This window comes from Homo sapiens, chromosome 5 (assembly GCF_000001405.40).
Source record: "Homo sapiens chromosome 5, GRCh38.p14 Primary Assembly".
Taxonomy (NCBI): Eukaryota; Metazoa; Chordata; class Mammalia; order Primates; family Hominidae; genus Homo; species Homo sapiens.
Window position 1 is genome coordinate 125332880 of NC_000005.10, and position 17283 is coordinate 125350162.

The following is a 17283-nucleotide window of genomic DNA, read 5'->3' on the forward strand; positions in this document are numbered from 1 at the left end:
AAAGAAAACCTTGAGCCTCAAATTGAAAAAAAAAAAAAAGTGTTTCCTCATAGGACTACTTCATCTGTCAGCATCTCTTTTATTTCCCCTTAGTAAACCAAAACATTAGCACAGTCTTGTAGATACAAGCTACAGATTCCTCGGGGCAAATTGCACACCTTTAACTCTTTAAGGAAAAAGAATTCTGTCCCGTAATTATTATTATGTGTCAAATTTGTTATGAAGGAACATGAACTGTGTAGCTTCTCATGAGGCACTTGAAGATTAAGGCCCTCAGTCAAAAGGGAAGAGAAGAAAAGAATCAGAGTTTGCAAACTTTAAACAAAATAGAGACATCAGTATTTATTATCTGTGCATCAGTGAGATTCACAATTCTTAAAATATGCAAGCTAAACAGTTGTGAAGCAGATAAAAAAGACTACAAAACATCCAAAGAGATCGCTTATATTTACATATAAAAGAAATATCACATTGATGCATGTTAGCACTAATGATTTAAAATACTGAGCACATATTTTCTCAAAACTAAGAACAATTGTCATAAATTTTTAAAGTCCTTTAAAATATACAGTGTCAAGGGTTATGGAAACAGCACCATAAAAGTTAATATCTTGCATATATTCAAGGATTAAATTTAAAATATTTGGTATTTGGAATGAGGCTAATATAACATGAAGCTTAGGAAAAGTATGTTTGAATACATGAAAAATGAATGTAGAAATGAAGCCAGTGGAGGTGGAAAAAAGCCAGGGCACAGGAAAAAGAAAACAAAATAGGAGAAGTGTATCACATAAAAACATAAATCCTCCTGTATTATTTGGCAGATACATAATTCACATTCGTTTCATTTTTTGCAAGCCAAAATATGAATATTTTGATTTTACTGAAGGAGATGCTGGTAGAGCAGTTATAAATAAGAAAACCGTTTAGAGACTTTATAGTCCATGTAAAACCTTACTGAACTTTTAAATACCGTTTTTAAAGGACTCAGTCAACCTCTGATTGTTCTTGTTCCAATTTTACCCAATCATGTAACCAGTGGCTTTGGGAGAAACTCCTTTAGAGATGTATATTTTGCAGATCAGTGACAGAAAACAAACTGCTTTTCTTTCTTGTGGTCTGCTACTACTCCTCGTGTTGTATTAGGCAGGGTTCTCTAGAGGGATAGAACTAATGGAATATACATGTATGAGTTTATTAAGTATGAATAAATATATATGAGTTTATTAAGTATTTACATACATATCAGTTTATTAAGTATGAAGTCACACAATCGCAAGGTCCCACAATAGACTGCAGGCTGAGGAGCAAAGAGAGCCAGTCCAAGTTCCAAAACCGAGGAACTTGGAGTCCGATGTTCAAGGGTAGGAAGCATCCAGCACAGGAGAAAGATGTAGGCTGGGAGGCTAGGCCAGTCTCTCTTTTTACATTTTTCTGCCTGCTTTACATTCTAGGCATGCTGGCAACTGATTAGATGGTGCCCACCCAGATTAAGGGTGGGTCTGCCTTTCCCAGCCCACTCATTCAAATGTTAATCTTCTTTGGCAACACCCTCACAAACACACCCAGGATCAATAATTTGTATCCTTCAATCCAATCAGGTTGACACAGTATTAACCATCACATATGTGTTAGAGGACTCTGCAGTTATCCAAAACACGGAATGAGAAAGCAGTGTTGCAGATGGCGGCATACAGAAGGGGCAGCATGTAAGAGCAATGAATATAGACTGTACTTATTGCAGGTTCGCTTTCAGGGCTGAATTTCCAAGAAAGATGTGGATATTATTCTCTACTTTGGGGACTGTTATTTTCCCACTTTTTTCAGAGGTTCTTCATTGTTGTCCAGATTCAGGTTATTAAGGTCAGGACTCTTCTCCTTGACTGTGAACACCACTTCGTAGCCAAGCAAGGTTTGAGGAAGACATTGACAGGCATTGTTTGTAGGGAGAGACTCATTTCTTAGGAGCCAGACATGCCAGGGACTTTACATGTTGTAGCAGTCAGGATCCTAGAAAGAAACAGATGGCACACTCAAACAGGGGTAAGTGAGGAGAATTTAATAAAGACATGCTTTACAAAGGTGTGTGCAGGGTTGTTTTAGGGAAACTGGCAAAGGCAGTGCAGAACTAGCAAAGGTAGGGAAGCCTTGAGCACCAAAGCACCAGGAGATGGAGCAGCTGGAGTACTCCAGAGAGAGAAGGGGCTTCTTAACAAAAGCTATGACCTTCAATAGGTTGGCACAGTTTACCTAGAGAAGACCAAGCAAAAGAACGGGGGAAATCAATATCCTGACTACGCTTTTCTGTCTTCTCAAAATCCTTTTGGTCTCTTCCATCTGCCACTCCAAGCTAGAAGCCAGAGGGCAAGGTTGCCCATTGATTTAGTTGATAAATGTCAGCTATCTAGAGCACAGAAGAGTGTAGAAGATGGGCAAGTAGAATTGGAGAAGGAAATGAAGAATATCTAGAATAAGTGTTGCACAGGGGACATAACATCTCACTCACCCTTTACCATATCCTAATAAGAAACACATTACTAATATCTGCAGTTTATGCTTAGGAAAACTTAAATCCAGAAGGTCAAGGAATTTTTACAAGAACACACAGGTAATAAGTGACAGCACCAATATTGAAATCTAGGTCTTCTCAATCTAAACCTTTTTTTTTCCTTTTTTAAAGAAAAAACTATATGAAGTTTCTCACAGGAAAGTGAGAGGGTTGGTGGGGGTCGGAAATAAAAGCACAAGAAATGGGAGAAAAACAAGACTAGGGAACAAATGTAACTATATTTACTGAGCACTGGCTATGCCCCAGGCACTGGTTTAAGCTTTTTATATTCAGCATCCCATAGATCTTCTCAACTCTATGAACCAGGTACTGGTATCCCTGTTTAGAGAGGAGGAAGCAGACCCTTAGAAGACTCAGTAAGTCAACAGGGTCACTCAGGCAGAAAGCAGTAGACTCAGAACTGGAACCTATGTAGATTCTAGAATTCATACTCCTAACAATTAAATTATAGAGAATGTGGATGGGAAAAAAGAAAAAAAAAAGTCTGAGTGTCTGGCAAAATTGTCCCAAACTCTCAGGTATCCTAAATGCTTTTTCTTAATATAGTAAGATCACTCTTTTCTTTCTGTTTCCGTTCTGTTCACTTTGCTATTTATGTGTTATAACATCGAAGGTGATGATGGTGGCAGAAAGAAGGACATAAATGCAACTTGGGCCATTTTTTTATTTTGGGAAAAACTGTGCATATCCGAAAGGAATATTCAAATCTGAATTCACCATATTCCCTCTTAAATGTACTCCTCTTTATATATGCTCCCTCAATTAATGGCACAATCTACATTTTATTCTTACCAAAAACCTGGGACTTTCTCATATTATTATATTGCTATTATTATTTACTAGATTCCTCTGAATGATTCTTTAAAATCACTTTCTATTATTCTGAAAGCACTGCAGCCCTTTTTAGAATATGTGTTGTGCTTCTTTGAAATTGTTTAGTTATATATGTCTATTATCAGGCACTGTGTCTTTTGCAGCTACTTTTCAGTCCCCAGTATGATGCCTGGTACATAGTAGTGCTTCAATAAGTGGTTTTTGAATGACCAAATGGAAATCGGGCCTCTGTAACTTCTCTGTGTAATAGAAAGCATCTGACTTGCAGTGAGCATATTGAGAAATGGATGTCTCAGATTTTCCAGCCTTTCTCTCCTAGCAAAGGCCAGATAAGGCTGTGATAGTCTGACTTCCTTTTTGTTGCTTTTGATGTCTCACCTGATGTAAGCCCTGCTGCTTTTTAAAATGTCAGACTGACTTGGAGTCAACTCTTTGATTTGCTGTTTCGTGGGGTTTGCAGATCCTGAGTTAGGTGCATTTTGATTCTCTCTGTTTTTATTTCCATGAACTCTTCCAGAGGACATGGGTCAGGAAGACTTCAAGGTTAACTGATGACTAACTGGCATTTTCAACCAACAAGACTATGTTTTTAAACTTGCAAATACATTGGACAGCTAGTCAAATGTTTTGGCACTTGTCCCTATTATTAGTAATGACTTAAAACCAGAGGTGTTGGCGAAGAATTCTTGAATTGAAGGTACCAAAGTAGAGTTTCTTTAAGGTCAATGAACGTAAAGGAAAAGGCTTTTGCTTCCAATGGAGGTGTGCACAGCTTGCACTGAAGAAAGAAGCATGTGAGGCTACACTCTCCAGGCTTTTAATGCTACTTAAAATGTCTTTTCTGCCACAGAGGTAGATGCATTCCAAATCTCTCTCTGTTTCTCTCTCTTTCCTACAATGATAATTTTCACTGGTGCTCAACTTATCTTTCTGCCAGCCATCTTGCTGAGAAAAGAGCCCAGCCCCTCAGCACCGCCTGGGCACTGTAGCTTTTGTTTCTAGTGGATTGTTTTCTCTGATGGCAACCTCTTGTCTTGAACTGACATTCTGCCCTGCTCACTGCTCCCAGTGTCCTCTGTTATATCAACATCTGCAGCAGCTGCTGCTTCTTTGGCTGAAAAGTCTCAATGTTTGCCTTTAAAATGTCATTCCTTCACCTCTCTCAGTACTCAGACTTACTCATCAGTTTGTTTCCAGTTGTCCTCAAATGTGTTCAGAATAAATGATGCACAAAGGACAGTTTAAACATAGCAAAGCAGCTGTAGGCAAGGCATCTCCAGCTCACCGGGCTATTCTTTCATAATAAAATGTGTCACATTGTCATTCGAATGTGTCTCTGGCACAGAAGACACTGGCTGTGTATCAGCTGTGGCAATAACAACATGTTTAGTGGTTGCCAAGCCAAGAGGGAAAAAAGATTAAATGAAGAAGGTGTAGAAAGATCAGTTAATGTGAGTTGCCTTCCTTTGCTTTTTCCTAAATTTAACTTTCAAAAATGTTGTTTATAACTGACACATGATAATTTATTCATCTTATTTTATTATTTTATTTTATTTTTATTTTACTTTAAGTTCTGGGATATATGTGCAGAATGTGCAGGTTTGTTCCAGAGATATACTTGTGCCATGGTGGTTTGCTGCACCTATCAACCTATCACCTGGGTTTTAAGCCCTGCATGCATTAGGTATTTGTCCTAATGCTCTCCCTCCCCTTGTCTCCCACTCGCTGACTGGCCTTGGTGTGTAATGTTCCCCTCCCTGTGATAATTTTACATGTTTACATTTTTTACATGATAATTTTACATGTTTATGGGGTACAATGTGATGTTTTAATACCCCTGTATATTGTATAATGATTGAGTTTGGGTAGATAGCATAGCCATCACTTCAAACATTTATAATTTCTTTGTAGTGATGACATTCAAGATCCTCTTTGTTAGCTGCCTTGAAAAATATAATAGATTTTTATTAACTATAGTCACCCTACTATGTAATAGAACACTGGAATATATTCTTCCTACCTAACTGTAACTTTGTACTTAATCACTCTTTCCTCCACCCCTCCTAAGCCTCTGGTAATCACTCTTCTATAATCTCTACTTGCATGAGATCAACTTTTTAAGATTCCGTTTATTAGTGAGATCATGTGGTATTTGTTTTTCTGGCTTATTTCACTTAACATAATGTCCTCCAGGTTCATCCATGTTGCCACAGATGGAAGGATTTCATTCTTTTTAATGGTTAAACAGTATTCCATTGTGCATATAGACCACATTTGCTTTATCCTTTCTTCTGCTGAAGAATATTTGGTTCCATCTCTTGGCTATTGTGAGTAGTGCTGCAATAAACACGGGGGTACAGATCTCTCTTTGACATGCTGATTTCATTTCCTTTGCATATATACCCAGAAATGGGATTGCTACATCATATGGTAGTTCTATTTTTAATGTTTTCAGGAAGCCCTATTCTGTTTTCCATAATAGCTATACTAATTTACACTAACACAAAAATGTATAAGAGTTCTCCTTTCTCTGTACCCTTGCCAGCATTTTTTTTTTTTTTGTCTTATTGTAGTAGCCCTTCTAACTTTGAGAACTTGGAGTTTGATGTTCAAGGATAGGAAGCATCCAGCACAGGAGAAAGACAGGCTGAGAGGCTAGGCCAGTCTCTCTTCTCATGTAGTAAGATGATATTACTATCTCACTGTGGTTTTGATTTGCATTTGCCTGATGATTAATGATGCTGAGCATTTTTATGTGTGCTGGCCTTTTTATTCTTCTGAGAAATTTCTATTCAGATCATTTGCCCATTTTTAGATTAGTTGTTTCAGTTCCTTATATATTTTGGATATTAACCCCTAATTAGATGTATGACTTCGAAGTATTTTTTCCCATTCTGTAGGTTGTCTTTTCACTCTGTTGATTACTATTTTTGCTGTGCAGAAGCTTTTTAGTTTGATGTAATCCCATTTGTCTATGTTTGCTTTTGTTGCCTGTGCTTTTGAAGTTGTATCCAAGAAATCCTTTTCCAGTCCCATATCACAAAGTGTTTCCTCTGTGTTTTCTTCCAGTAGCTTCTAGCAGTTGTAGTTTCAGTTCTTTCTCACTGTCCTCATTATCAAGTTGGCCTTAACCATGGCAAAAAGCTAGTAATTTATCTCTTGCCTGCCAATACTTTGACCATTTCTCTCCATGGCATCTTTGCACCTTAACCACATTGAAGGCTTGCTTAGACTTCTCAAGTTCAGTGTTTTACCATCTTGGAAATTAGAATATGGTAAGACCAATGGAAACTTTTTTTGTGAAATATCAATTACCATACATATATGAGGTATTATCATGCAGTAAGCATGCTGAAACCTCACTCAGAATTCAAACATGGTCTCTTCTTCGGGCATAAGAACAACGTAGCTCAATTTATATTTTTTAAAGCATTAAGTTAACTTATTAAAGTGACATTGCTACCTCACTGCCACTAGGGCATGATTTTGATTATTTTTCTAGTGGCTAATTGATGAGTAAAATAGATACATTTCCACTGTGTGGTCTGCCTCTTCCATGATCTATTTGCCTCATGGTTAGCTAGGGTTAAGGGTTCAGTCTGTGGCCAAGAGTAGGGTGAAGCCATATGACCCATTTAGGTTTTAAATCTATCACTTCAACGTCATAAAAAATAACTAACCACAAACACAGGCATTAGAAAGTAAAATTCCCATCCTGGCATGTTCAGTCTTAACTTTTGAGATCAAAGGAGTTGCAAAATAATTATATTTTTACGCCTGTATCACTCCACAAAAGTCGTCTCGTGCTCTTTGTTAATATGCTTCAAATAAGAAAACATCAGCCTGCCTTTTATTGCTATAGAGCAAACATTGTGTACTTCTTTCTATGTACTAAAAGCTTTACTTAAATGCCCTGTGTTAAATTGGTTATTCCCTACAAAGCTCTACGAAATAGCTATTATTCCAGTATTACAGATGGATAAACTGAGGCATATAGAGATTAAATAACATGATAAGTGGTAGAACTGGTATTTAAGCTGAAGCTGTAGCTGCAAAGACTATGACCACTATGCAATCCTGCTCTCTACCCCCAGTGATCTTGAGCTACTGCCATCTGCAACAAGCACAGACTTGCTTTCTCCTTTTATTTTTCCTTTTTTGTCATGATTCTATGTATTCATGGTCCAATTCAAATGTCAGCTCTCTCAATCACTTTGCCTGGCACCTTCACCCAAATAGTAATTATAATAGTTTATCAGTATTCCCATAGTACTTTATTCTTTCTTTTATCTTGACACCATATACTAATGCAGATATTCATCTATGTCTCTTTCTTTCCTAGCAGGCTGGGAACAACAGAGTTGTTACATCTTATATTTCCAGAATCTATATAACATCTGGCCTATAGTAAGAACTCAATAATGATTTATTACATTAAATTGAAATAAAATAGTTGATACTGGGCCTTAGTATGAATCTGAAACATAACTGAAACATATCTGAAACATAATTGTAACATATCTGAAAACTTCATTAAATGTTCTTTCATTTTACTTTGCCAAATGCCAGTCTGGTTACAAGCTGACACAGTTATACCATAGAGTTTAAAGTTGAAAGCAAAATGATTTTGTGTCTTCCTTGATTATGGCTTCCTCAGTGCACTGTTATGAAAAAAGTCGATTGTATGTTTCCTGCTAGCCTTTTTCCTTCAGTGTAGCTCCCTATGTGCATGGAGTGGGTCACATATGTTTTCTCCATGTTGCTGGTATGCTTTGGACATGGACATCACCATGAGTAGTATCTGTCTCTCTAACTATCCATCATCATGTCACATTAGACTTTAGTAAGTCCTCGTAAAGGCATAGAAAAGAAAAAAAAAAGCAATCCCATCTCCTTGAAGAGAAGATTTCATTTATGCTTGAAGATGTAATTGACAGTTACCCTATATTGGTCAATGATGGGCATTCAACTTCCTCTCTTTTAATCATTTTCCACAACCATTCCATCACCAAGATATGTCAGCAAAACCTTCATGATATATCTTAAACCTGACCAATTTTGTACTACTACCACTCTAGTCCCTCTCTTGTCTGAACTCATATTTGTTATAGAATAACTTTCCTAACTTGCTGTCTGGTTTTCATTCTTGATGAAATAGTCTCCACCTGCAATCACAGTGAGAACTTGAAATTGTAAATTAAAGCATGTCACTCCTCTGTTTTCAAACCTCCATTGGCTTCCTTCCTCCCTCCCTCCCTCCCTTCCTTCCTTCCTTTCTTCCTTCCTTCCTCTCTTTCCTTCTTTCCTTCCTTCCCTCCTTCCTCTCTCTTTCCTTCCTTCCTTCCTCTCTGTCTTTCCTTCCTTCCTTCCTTTCTTCCTTCCTTCCTCTCTGTCTTTCCTTCCTTTCTTCCCTTCTTCCTTCCTTCCTTTCTTCCTTCCTATCCTTCATTCGTTCCTTCATTCTTTCTTCTTTCTTTTTTTTGAGATGGAATCTTGCTCTGTCACCCAGGCTGGAGTGCAGTGGCACAGTCTTGGCTCACTGCAACCTCCACCTCCCAGGTTCAAGCAGTTCTGCCTCAGCCTCCTGAATAGCTGGAATTATAGGCAAGTGCCGCCATGCCCAGCTAATTTTATATTTTTAGTAGAGATGGGGTTTCACCATGTTGGCCAGGCTGGTCTTGAATTCCTGACTTCAGGTGATCCACCCAACTTGGCCCCTCAAAATGTTGGGATTACAGGTGTGAGCCACCACCCCTGGCCTCAACCTCCATTGGCTTTCATCACACTTAGAATAATGTCCAAAGTCATTACCATAGCTCTACATGACTTGACCCTGGCTGTCCCTTCAAACTCACTTTCTACCACTCTACTACTTCCTCACACCACGAAACGTAAACTGACTTCTCTGATGTTCCTAGAACTTGTCAAAGACATTCTTAACCCAGGGCCTTTGTACCTGCCATTAGGACCCTCTGCCTGGGATACTCTTGCCCCGCATATTCAGTGTTCACTTCTGTTTAATTTGTCAATTTGTCCCTATGCCAGAAAGTAGCTTGTCTAAAAATATTTATCTCAGACATACTCTATTCCCTTACTTACTTTATCTTTCTTCACAGCATTTTGATTTGTTTATTATGCGTTTTCTACTAGAATGTAAATGCTCTGAGATCAAGGACTGCTTTGTTCATAATTTTATTCCTAGCAGATACATATGGTACATAGTAGATAGTCAATAAATATGTGTTGAATAAGTGAAATTTAATTTAGTTCTAGACCTAACATATGGGCTCTTAATAGCATCTTTGCTTAAGTGTTGGAAAATTTGAGTTGCTCAATTTCAACAACTACTAGTAACCTTTCAGGAAAATTGTTGCAAATACTTAGTTCTTTAGATTTTGAAGAATGTTACTGATATAGGAATAAAACAAAAGATTTACAGACAGAGCAATGGAGAGAGTAATTGGAAAAGAGAAAGATGGAGTTCTTATTGTTTTCAACAATTTAAAGTGTGAATACTGTGTTGAACCACTTTGCATATAAAGATCCACTGAAACCTTGTTAATATGACTGATAAAAATGATAGGAATAGATATTTAGATCTTTTTAAGCCTCAGTTAGTAGCCAGTAGATTTGAGGTAATGCCTTAGACTTTACACTTTGCCAAGGTTTGCCAAATTTGCAATCCTTTTGGAAAATGTTATCTGAGCCTGGCTGGGTACCTGGGAAAGATTTATGGAAGGAGATAAACGTTACAAATAGGAGGAGGAATTCATTGCATTCTTTGTGGGTTGCAGTTGAAGCATACTGGAAGTTACAAGCCTCTGTGTCTTTCACTTTGGATACTTGGCTGCATTTAAACTCCATAAGCAAAAATTTGTATAAAAGTAGCATCAGCTGATAAAGCCTAGACTCACATAGCTCAAACATTTAGTTTGAATGACTCAATTGCACTCTTACTCGGTGAATTTCTAAAGGAAACTATTTAATATGCTTAGTATATCATAATACTTCCCATGTCATCTATTTTAAAACACAGCTCATATATAAGTTGACAGCATCCCACAGCTCTGACCCCAGTGGTGGTGCTGACAATAACTGGGCAATTCACTGAAAACCACAAGATACAGTTTGCACTGTGGATTTGATAATGGGTTGTATGTAGCCTTTCACTATTGGAGAAACAAAGTTACATAATTTTGGAGAAGTAAGAGACTTTACATGGCATCTGCTCAGACTCTTGCTCTTTACAATTACCAGAAACTAGTCCCCAAGCAGGAACGTGGCAAGCCATTTTCATCAACAAATGAGCTGGCCGTAGAGCTGAAACTGGAATATGGTCTTCTGATTGCTAGTCGAGAGATCTTTTATTTTGGTGGGGTTGGGGAGCATACTTTATTGTAAGTTTCACCAGTGTGGGACGCATAATTTTGGCCCCCATGACCTTCAGCTCTTGATGTTATATCTATAAATATGGTTTCTCACATGCTGAATGGGACTTTCCAGATGTAAGTAAGGTTACTAATCAGCTGACATTAGCGTAGAGAAATTATCCTGGATTATCTGGTTGCAACCAATGTAATCACATAAACTCTTAAAAGGAGACAAGAGAACAGCAAGATAGGAAGTAGAAGAAGGATCAGACATGCCACTGATAGCTTAGAAATGGAGAGTTCAGGAGCCAAGGAATGTGGGCAGCCATGAGAAGCTTCAACTAACAGCCAACAAGGAAATGAAAACCTTAGTCCCGCAGCCATGTGGAACTAAACCTGCCAACAACTTGAATGAGCCTTGAAGTGGATCTTTCCCAGAGCCTCCATAAGAGAATGTAGTCTCAATAATACCTTGATTTCAATTTCAGAATTCAGCTGAATCATGAAAGAAACCATGGGTGTTGTTTTAAGCCACTAAGTTTTTGGTATTTATTTTTTTACAGCAGCAATAGAAAAAGGAAGTAACCAATTTGTTAAAATGCTTCTCCCATCTTTTCTTAACCTTTGACAAGTATCCTTACAAGAGTGGCAACATTTCCTTCCCTACATAGGGAAATGTTTATGAAAATATCAAATTGCATATAACCTTCACTCGTGCACTAACAGGGCTTCACCCATCTGGGGAAAGTGTCCTTCAGATCTTTCTGGAGGTCTCCAGTGGGATGGATTACTTATGTCCTCTCACCAGTTGCCCCTTTCTCTCCTTCTCTGGCCCCTCTTGCCCATTTCCAGTGCTTCGTCAATGTCCCAGTACATCATGAGGTGACTGACATGCACGATAAGGGAGATGCTGCAGGATGCTCCCCAAGCTTTGAATTCCAAGGAGCAGGAGCTTGGTTGGTTCTGCACAGAGGCAGGGAGAACAGCCTTTCCTGTCTCAGAGCCACTCATAGTCACTGGGCTCCAAAGCGGCTCTCCTGGTGCCTGGGGGCCTCATGAGGTCTTTTCTGTTTTCTGTGAAGAACCTCACGAGATTCCTTCATTGCCTTCCACTTTGTAGCATCTCCTTCTAGAAGGAGAATGAAAACCACTTTATAAGACATGATATAGGAATACTGCCCTCCTCTTTCCCTTGGCTCCTCACCCACTGAAACATCTCTTCTCTCAGTTGTAAAACAAAAACTCTCAACTACTCTAATGAATACAAGCCAGAGAGTAGGCATGAGTGTATGTGTGTTTGTGTGTGTGTGTGTAATTACTAGTGCTAATCAGCAGAAATGTTCCCTATACATCTATGAATATGAGTCATTGCCACCTGATTAAAATAAATCAGACAACCTTTACAGTGTCTCCCAATATATATTGATAATAGGCATTGTAGTCGACTGAGGGGTGTTCCTCAAAAAGATATGTCCACCTGCCAATCACCAGAACCAGTGAACATTGCTTTATAAGGCAAAAAGATGAAATTAAGTTAAAGATTTTGAGAGGAGGAGTTTGTCCTGGATTATTTGATGGGCCCCAGATCCAATGACAAGTGTTCTTCTAAGAGTGAGGCAGAGTGGGGATTTTGACAGACACACCAGGAGGAAGACAGACAGAAGAGGAGGCAACATGGCCTTGGAGGCAGAGATTGAAGTGATCCACCCTCAAGCCAAAAAAAAAAAAAAAAAATGCCTGTAGACAGCAGACACTGGAAGACAGAAGTACATGATTCTCCCCAGGTGTCTCTGACTGGAGGGAGTGTAGTCCTCCTGAGTCCTTGATTTCAGACTCCTGGCCTCCAGTATGATGAGAAAATAAATTTCTCTTGTCTTAAGCCAAGGTTACAGTAATTTGTTATGGCAGCTGCAGAATACTAATATAGACAACACACTGTTAGCTTTTAAAATTGTGTAAAACACACAAAACTCCATCTGTTCTAGACACTTGTTTGTAAACAGAGGAACTTTACTACACGCAAATTAGTGTTAATACTATCAGAAGTTGAACTTAGAATATTAGGTGTAAGTATTTGTCAATGTGATCGCTCCCCTTAAAAGCCTGTAACGTTGTTGTACTGGATATTGCTAATCAATTTATATTATTGAAAGCTTACTCTGAGTAGATCAAATCAATATGCCAGAAACCATAAGGGAGGGGGGAAACAGTGAATACGATGAAATAGTAATAGTAATAATAATAATAATATCTGGCACTATTCTAAGTGCTTTGCATATAATACACTTCACCTTTACAACATCCCTGTGAGGCTGGAACTTTTATTATCCCACTCTACAGAACACCGAGTCACTGAGAGGTTAGGCAACTTGCCCAGGGTCCTAGAGATGGTAAGTCGCAGAGCTGAGATTCAGTTTGTACTCATTTGACTGCCACTAACCTTGGGTGATGGCGAGAAGTAGACCTCAGAGGATAGAGAAACTTTCAATTGCTGTCATGCCCAGCTGCAAATAAACTTCAAAAAAGTCACCACCATCTGATAATGTACTTCCTATGTAGGATAATTTCTGCAGAGTGTGTCCAGATTCTTAGCAGACCTGTGATAATATTAATACCTTGTTCTAAGTATCCAGTTTTCTCCTTAGGGCTGGATTCACTCGTGGAGGATTGATGAGAGAGTGGGAGAATATTGCACCTAAGCTCTGTTTTTTCTTTCCTCTAATTTAGATATATGCAGATCTCAAAGTCTCTGACAATCAAGGCTCTGTTCCTACATAGGGCTTATGGGAAAGAATCGCACACCAGAACAAGATCCTTTTCACTGGAAGGATCGCTTGTCGGGGAGGCGAAGGGGGAAAGACATGGTAATGCCTGTTTGTTTGACTTCTCTCAGCCCCTTCTTTGGAGCAGTTTTGAATTTTTTGGCTCGGCTGCCCCATCACAGGCAGATGTTTGAAGCTCTTGTGCTCCATGAAGGTGAAAGAAGCAGACAACTGCCTCTTTTGTTTCTCTTTGTTAAGTGTTTTTTTTCTGACAGTCTCACTCTGTTGCCCAGGCTAGAGTGCAGTGGTAAGATCTTGGCTCACTGCAAACTCTGCCTCCCAGGTTCAAGGGATTCTCTTGCCTCCGCCTCCCGAATAGCTGGGATTACAGGTGCGTGCCACTATGTCCAGCTAATTTTTGTATTTTTAGTAGAGATGGGATTTTGCCACGTTAGCCAGGCTGGTCTCGAACTCCTGACCTTAGGTGATCCTCCCACCTCGGCCTCCCAAAGGGCTGGGATTACAGGTGTGAGCCACTGCGCCTGGCCTCTTACTTCTCTTTTTCACCAAGCTGATGGACAAGAGGCTGTGAACTTTGATATACCAAAGAATCATGGGGTATGTGAGGGTTGAAACTGCAGCAAACAGATGCCTTCTTTATAGCTGGAGAGGCTGTGAGAAGAGACTGTCCTGTGGGCAAGAACTCTGGATGTATGAGACAGTGTGCCAAAACAGTTAACAGAAATTATGAAGCAATTTCGATTTATGTTGCAGCAAAAAGAAGAAGGAACAGAGGAAATTGAACTTCCAGTGAGGTCTGATAATTAAACTCAGGCATACTGACAGGGTAGGTGAACACAACAGATAAATAACTACTTTCCGGTAATTATAAGGCAGGATGGTAACATATTAGACAAGCTGGCTTGCTCGGTATTTTCAAGGCTGACATTTCGATTCTAGGGGATATTTGGATCTGTGCTAACAGATTTCTTTCTTTTTCCACACTTGCTTTTCCTTTTCCACTCCCTATTGCTTGCTGAAAATAAAATGTGATTTTAAAGTGCCACTGTTCAGCATGTTTCATGCGTCTGCTTCGCCTCACATAGCCGACCTCAAAACCCACTGCTGCTGGACGCAGTTGCTGAAGTGGTGTCTGCTTTTCTAAAAACTGTAATTATTTAAAAGATTTTAATCAGATGTCCCCTATTAGAAGAAAATGGTGCAAATCACATAGTCCATTTACAATCCTTCCTTGGCCATAGACTGCTAAAGCTTTTAACAAATCATTTCATAGCACAAACACTTCTTTTCACAAGAAGGAAATGGAGGCAATGGGTTCTTGTCTAAGACGCACTGTTTTCAACAGAAATAAAGCAGACACTTAAGTCAAGGGAACAAAACCACTCTCTTTTGTGAATGGGGATCACTCTCAGACACCCAATTTTCCTTCTGTCTTTAAGAATAATGTTACAATACTTTTAAAAGGGGAATTTACATAATAGAATACAGATGTTGCCCTTTTCTATGTGATGTGTAGACTGTAGATTGTGTGCTATATAGACTTGATTTTCAGGCAGAAATTTTAAAATGAGTGTTTTTTTCATGGTCTGTCCTATAATCAAACCATCTCATGAAGAATGAAGATCTGTCCCTGTGGGTCTCTAGCCTCAAGGATCTGCTGTGTCGTGACTCAAATTCCAGATGGTGTAGATTTACTTTGTTGACCCAAACCCCATGTTTTCTTTCTTTTTTTTCTTTTAATTTAAAAAAACAGTATCATAATTTATTGATTGCTCTTGGGGAATGAACTTCCAATGCCCATCTTGTGGCCTGGCAGGGAGAAATTTCCCAGTTCTGTTTGAGCGAGCTGTCCACTCCACTTGGCACTTGAACAGGCTAAAACGGAATGTCTTTTGTTGTAAACACCTAATTTGTTCATTTTGAACTGTCTGAGTAACTAGATCAAAGACCAGTGTCAAATGCCCAAAGCAGTGTTTGTCAGCAGTGGACTTTTTATTCTTCTTGTTCTATAGCAACTGAAAGAGAAAAAGACTCGTACTGTATTTCCACAAAAGCGTAGGGAAGCTCGCGTTGGCAGCCTCTTGCGACAGAATGAATACATGCTACTGAGTACAGACCATTTGTCTCCTGATTACAACAGACCCCAGGGGAACTGGTGTTGGCTTTGAATTCCACCTCTCTTTTACTGAGCGCCTCCTCGCCGTGATGGTTCCACCCCCAATCCTCACAGCACAGAGCGTCAGGGACTCAGATCTCCTCTCTGCTGTGGGTTTTAGTCAGCTTTCTAAATTCAAACAGGGCCCTCTTGTTTGAAATGTGTTGACTTGTCTTGAACAGTAACATATATTTTTAAACTATTCTCATTTGGAATTCAGCAGTGGCCATAATGAATGCCTTTAGTGCTCCTGTGTGTTTCATATGCATGATAACAAGGGCTTCGGTGTAGAGGAAGGAAACAGAGAATGACGACCTAAAAAGTCACCCAGTTCCTAATATTAAAAATGGTACAAAAATGGTAGAGCATATGATGGTCTTACTAGTTATGTGTGAACCCACCTGATCATTTTTCCCATTGATTTATAAGGGCTCACGTTGTTTTTCTCCGTGCAGAATTGTTGTTTGGAAATGGACAAGAATGTGTCTTTATTATGCTAAGAGTACAGCTTTATTATTAGGCAGTCTTGAGGGCTGCTGGGATGCATTCTCCTTAATTACACCTATTTTCACTGATATTCCCTAAGAACTGCTCTGCTCATATTTCCATTGGAAGGCCAAGTTCAGCCTGAAAGGTTCACTTCCTACTTAACAGCAGTTGCAGTCATTAACATTTTTTTTTCTTGTTTAGTTTTGCTTTACTGTTCATTTCCTTTAAAGGAAAGTAGATCATAAAACATTCGTGAAAGTTTCCTTTATTTCAGATTAGCTGAATTTATTTTACACATTTGTCTCTGTTTTTTCTTATATTCTTATTCACTTTATTGTCTACCTTTGCAGTTATTTTTTTCTTATATTAAGAAAGAGAAAAGAAGCGAGCTGTCATTTGGCAGTCTCTTTTCCATTATGTTTGCACTGCTGGGAAACGCTGGAACAAAGGCATTCAAAGTGTTACTGAATGGGGCTCAGCATTCAGCCCTGCTGGTGAGGCTGCAATCAGTCCGACTAGGATGAAAATGCGTGCTTTTCAACACTGGTTGGAGATGTTTGTATTTATCTTTGGAATGCATGCCTGGTCCATGCAGTCATGTGATGTGTTTTTGCCATGTCCTTATGTGTCCCAGCTTTTTCTGTGGTAGGATGGAAGAAATGGAATGTGACCCATTAACCCTTAGTCGGTATGAAGTAGTCCAACAGATACTTCTCAAACACAAAGAGTCCCTGCTCACGTCAAAGTCAATTTCTAAAACACGTTTTTATCCGGGATTTAGTTCCTGTCCTGTTCTAGCCAGATGTGCATGTGGACAAGCTATGCCACTTCTGCTGACACGTTGGTAGTGAACAGTTCTGGGGTCATAAATAGCAATAATGGGATGAACCAAACAGGCAGTAGGTGTCCTCAGGCCTGGAAAAGGCATAGGAGGGTTAAAGTGGTTACTTAAGTCACACTGTTTATGTCTCCCATGTGCTAATGAAGATATAGAACATTTCTACCACCCCAAAAATTTTATTGTGCCATCTCACTGTCAGTTTCATCCCCAGCCTACAAGTATCCCTGTAGATTAATTTTTCT

The 17283-nt window shown here is 39.1% G+C and overlaps 1 long non-coding RNA gene across 1 annotated transcript in view, besides 2 other annotated features; it reads left to right on the forward strand.

The window, feature by feature from the left end:
* Positions 1 to 17283, forward strand: part of LOC101927421 (uncharacterized) — a 330904-nt gene that overhangs the window by 296049 nt on the left and 17572 nt on the right. The window lies entirely within an intron of this gene.
* Positions 15406 to 15971: an enhancer, noted in NCBI's record as "OCT4-NANOG hESC enhancer chr5:124683978-124684543 (GRCh37/hg19 assembly coordinates)". NCBI's record gives its function as "activates a minimal SCP1, AML or CMV promoter by ChIP-STARR-seq in primed H9 embryonic stem cells {active_cell/tissue: H9 hESC(primed)}" and the evidence as "EXISTENCE:reporter gene assay evidence [ECO:0000049][PMID:30033119]".
* Positions 16386 to 16901: an enhancer, noted in NCBI's record as "NANOG hESC enhancer chr5:124684958-124685473 (GRCh37/hg19 assembly coordinates)". NCBI's record gives its function as "activates a minimal SCP1, AML or CMV promoter by ChIP-STARR-seq in naive H9 embryonic stem cells {active_cell/tissue: H9 hESC(naive)}" and the evidence as "EXISTENCE:reporter gene assay evidence [ECO:0000049][PMID:30033119]".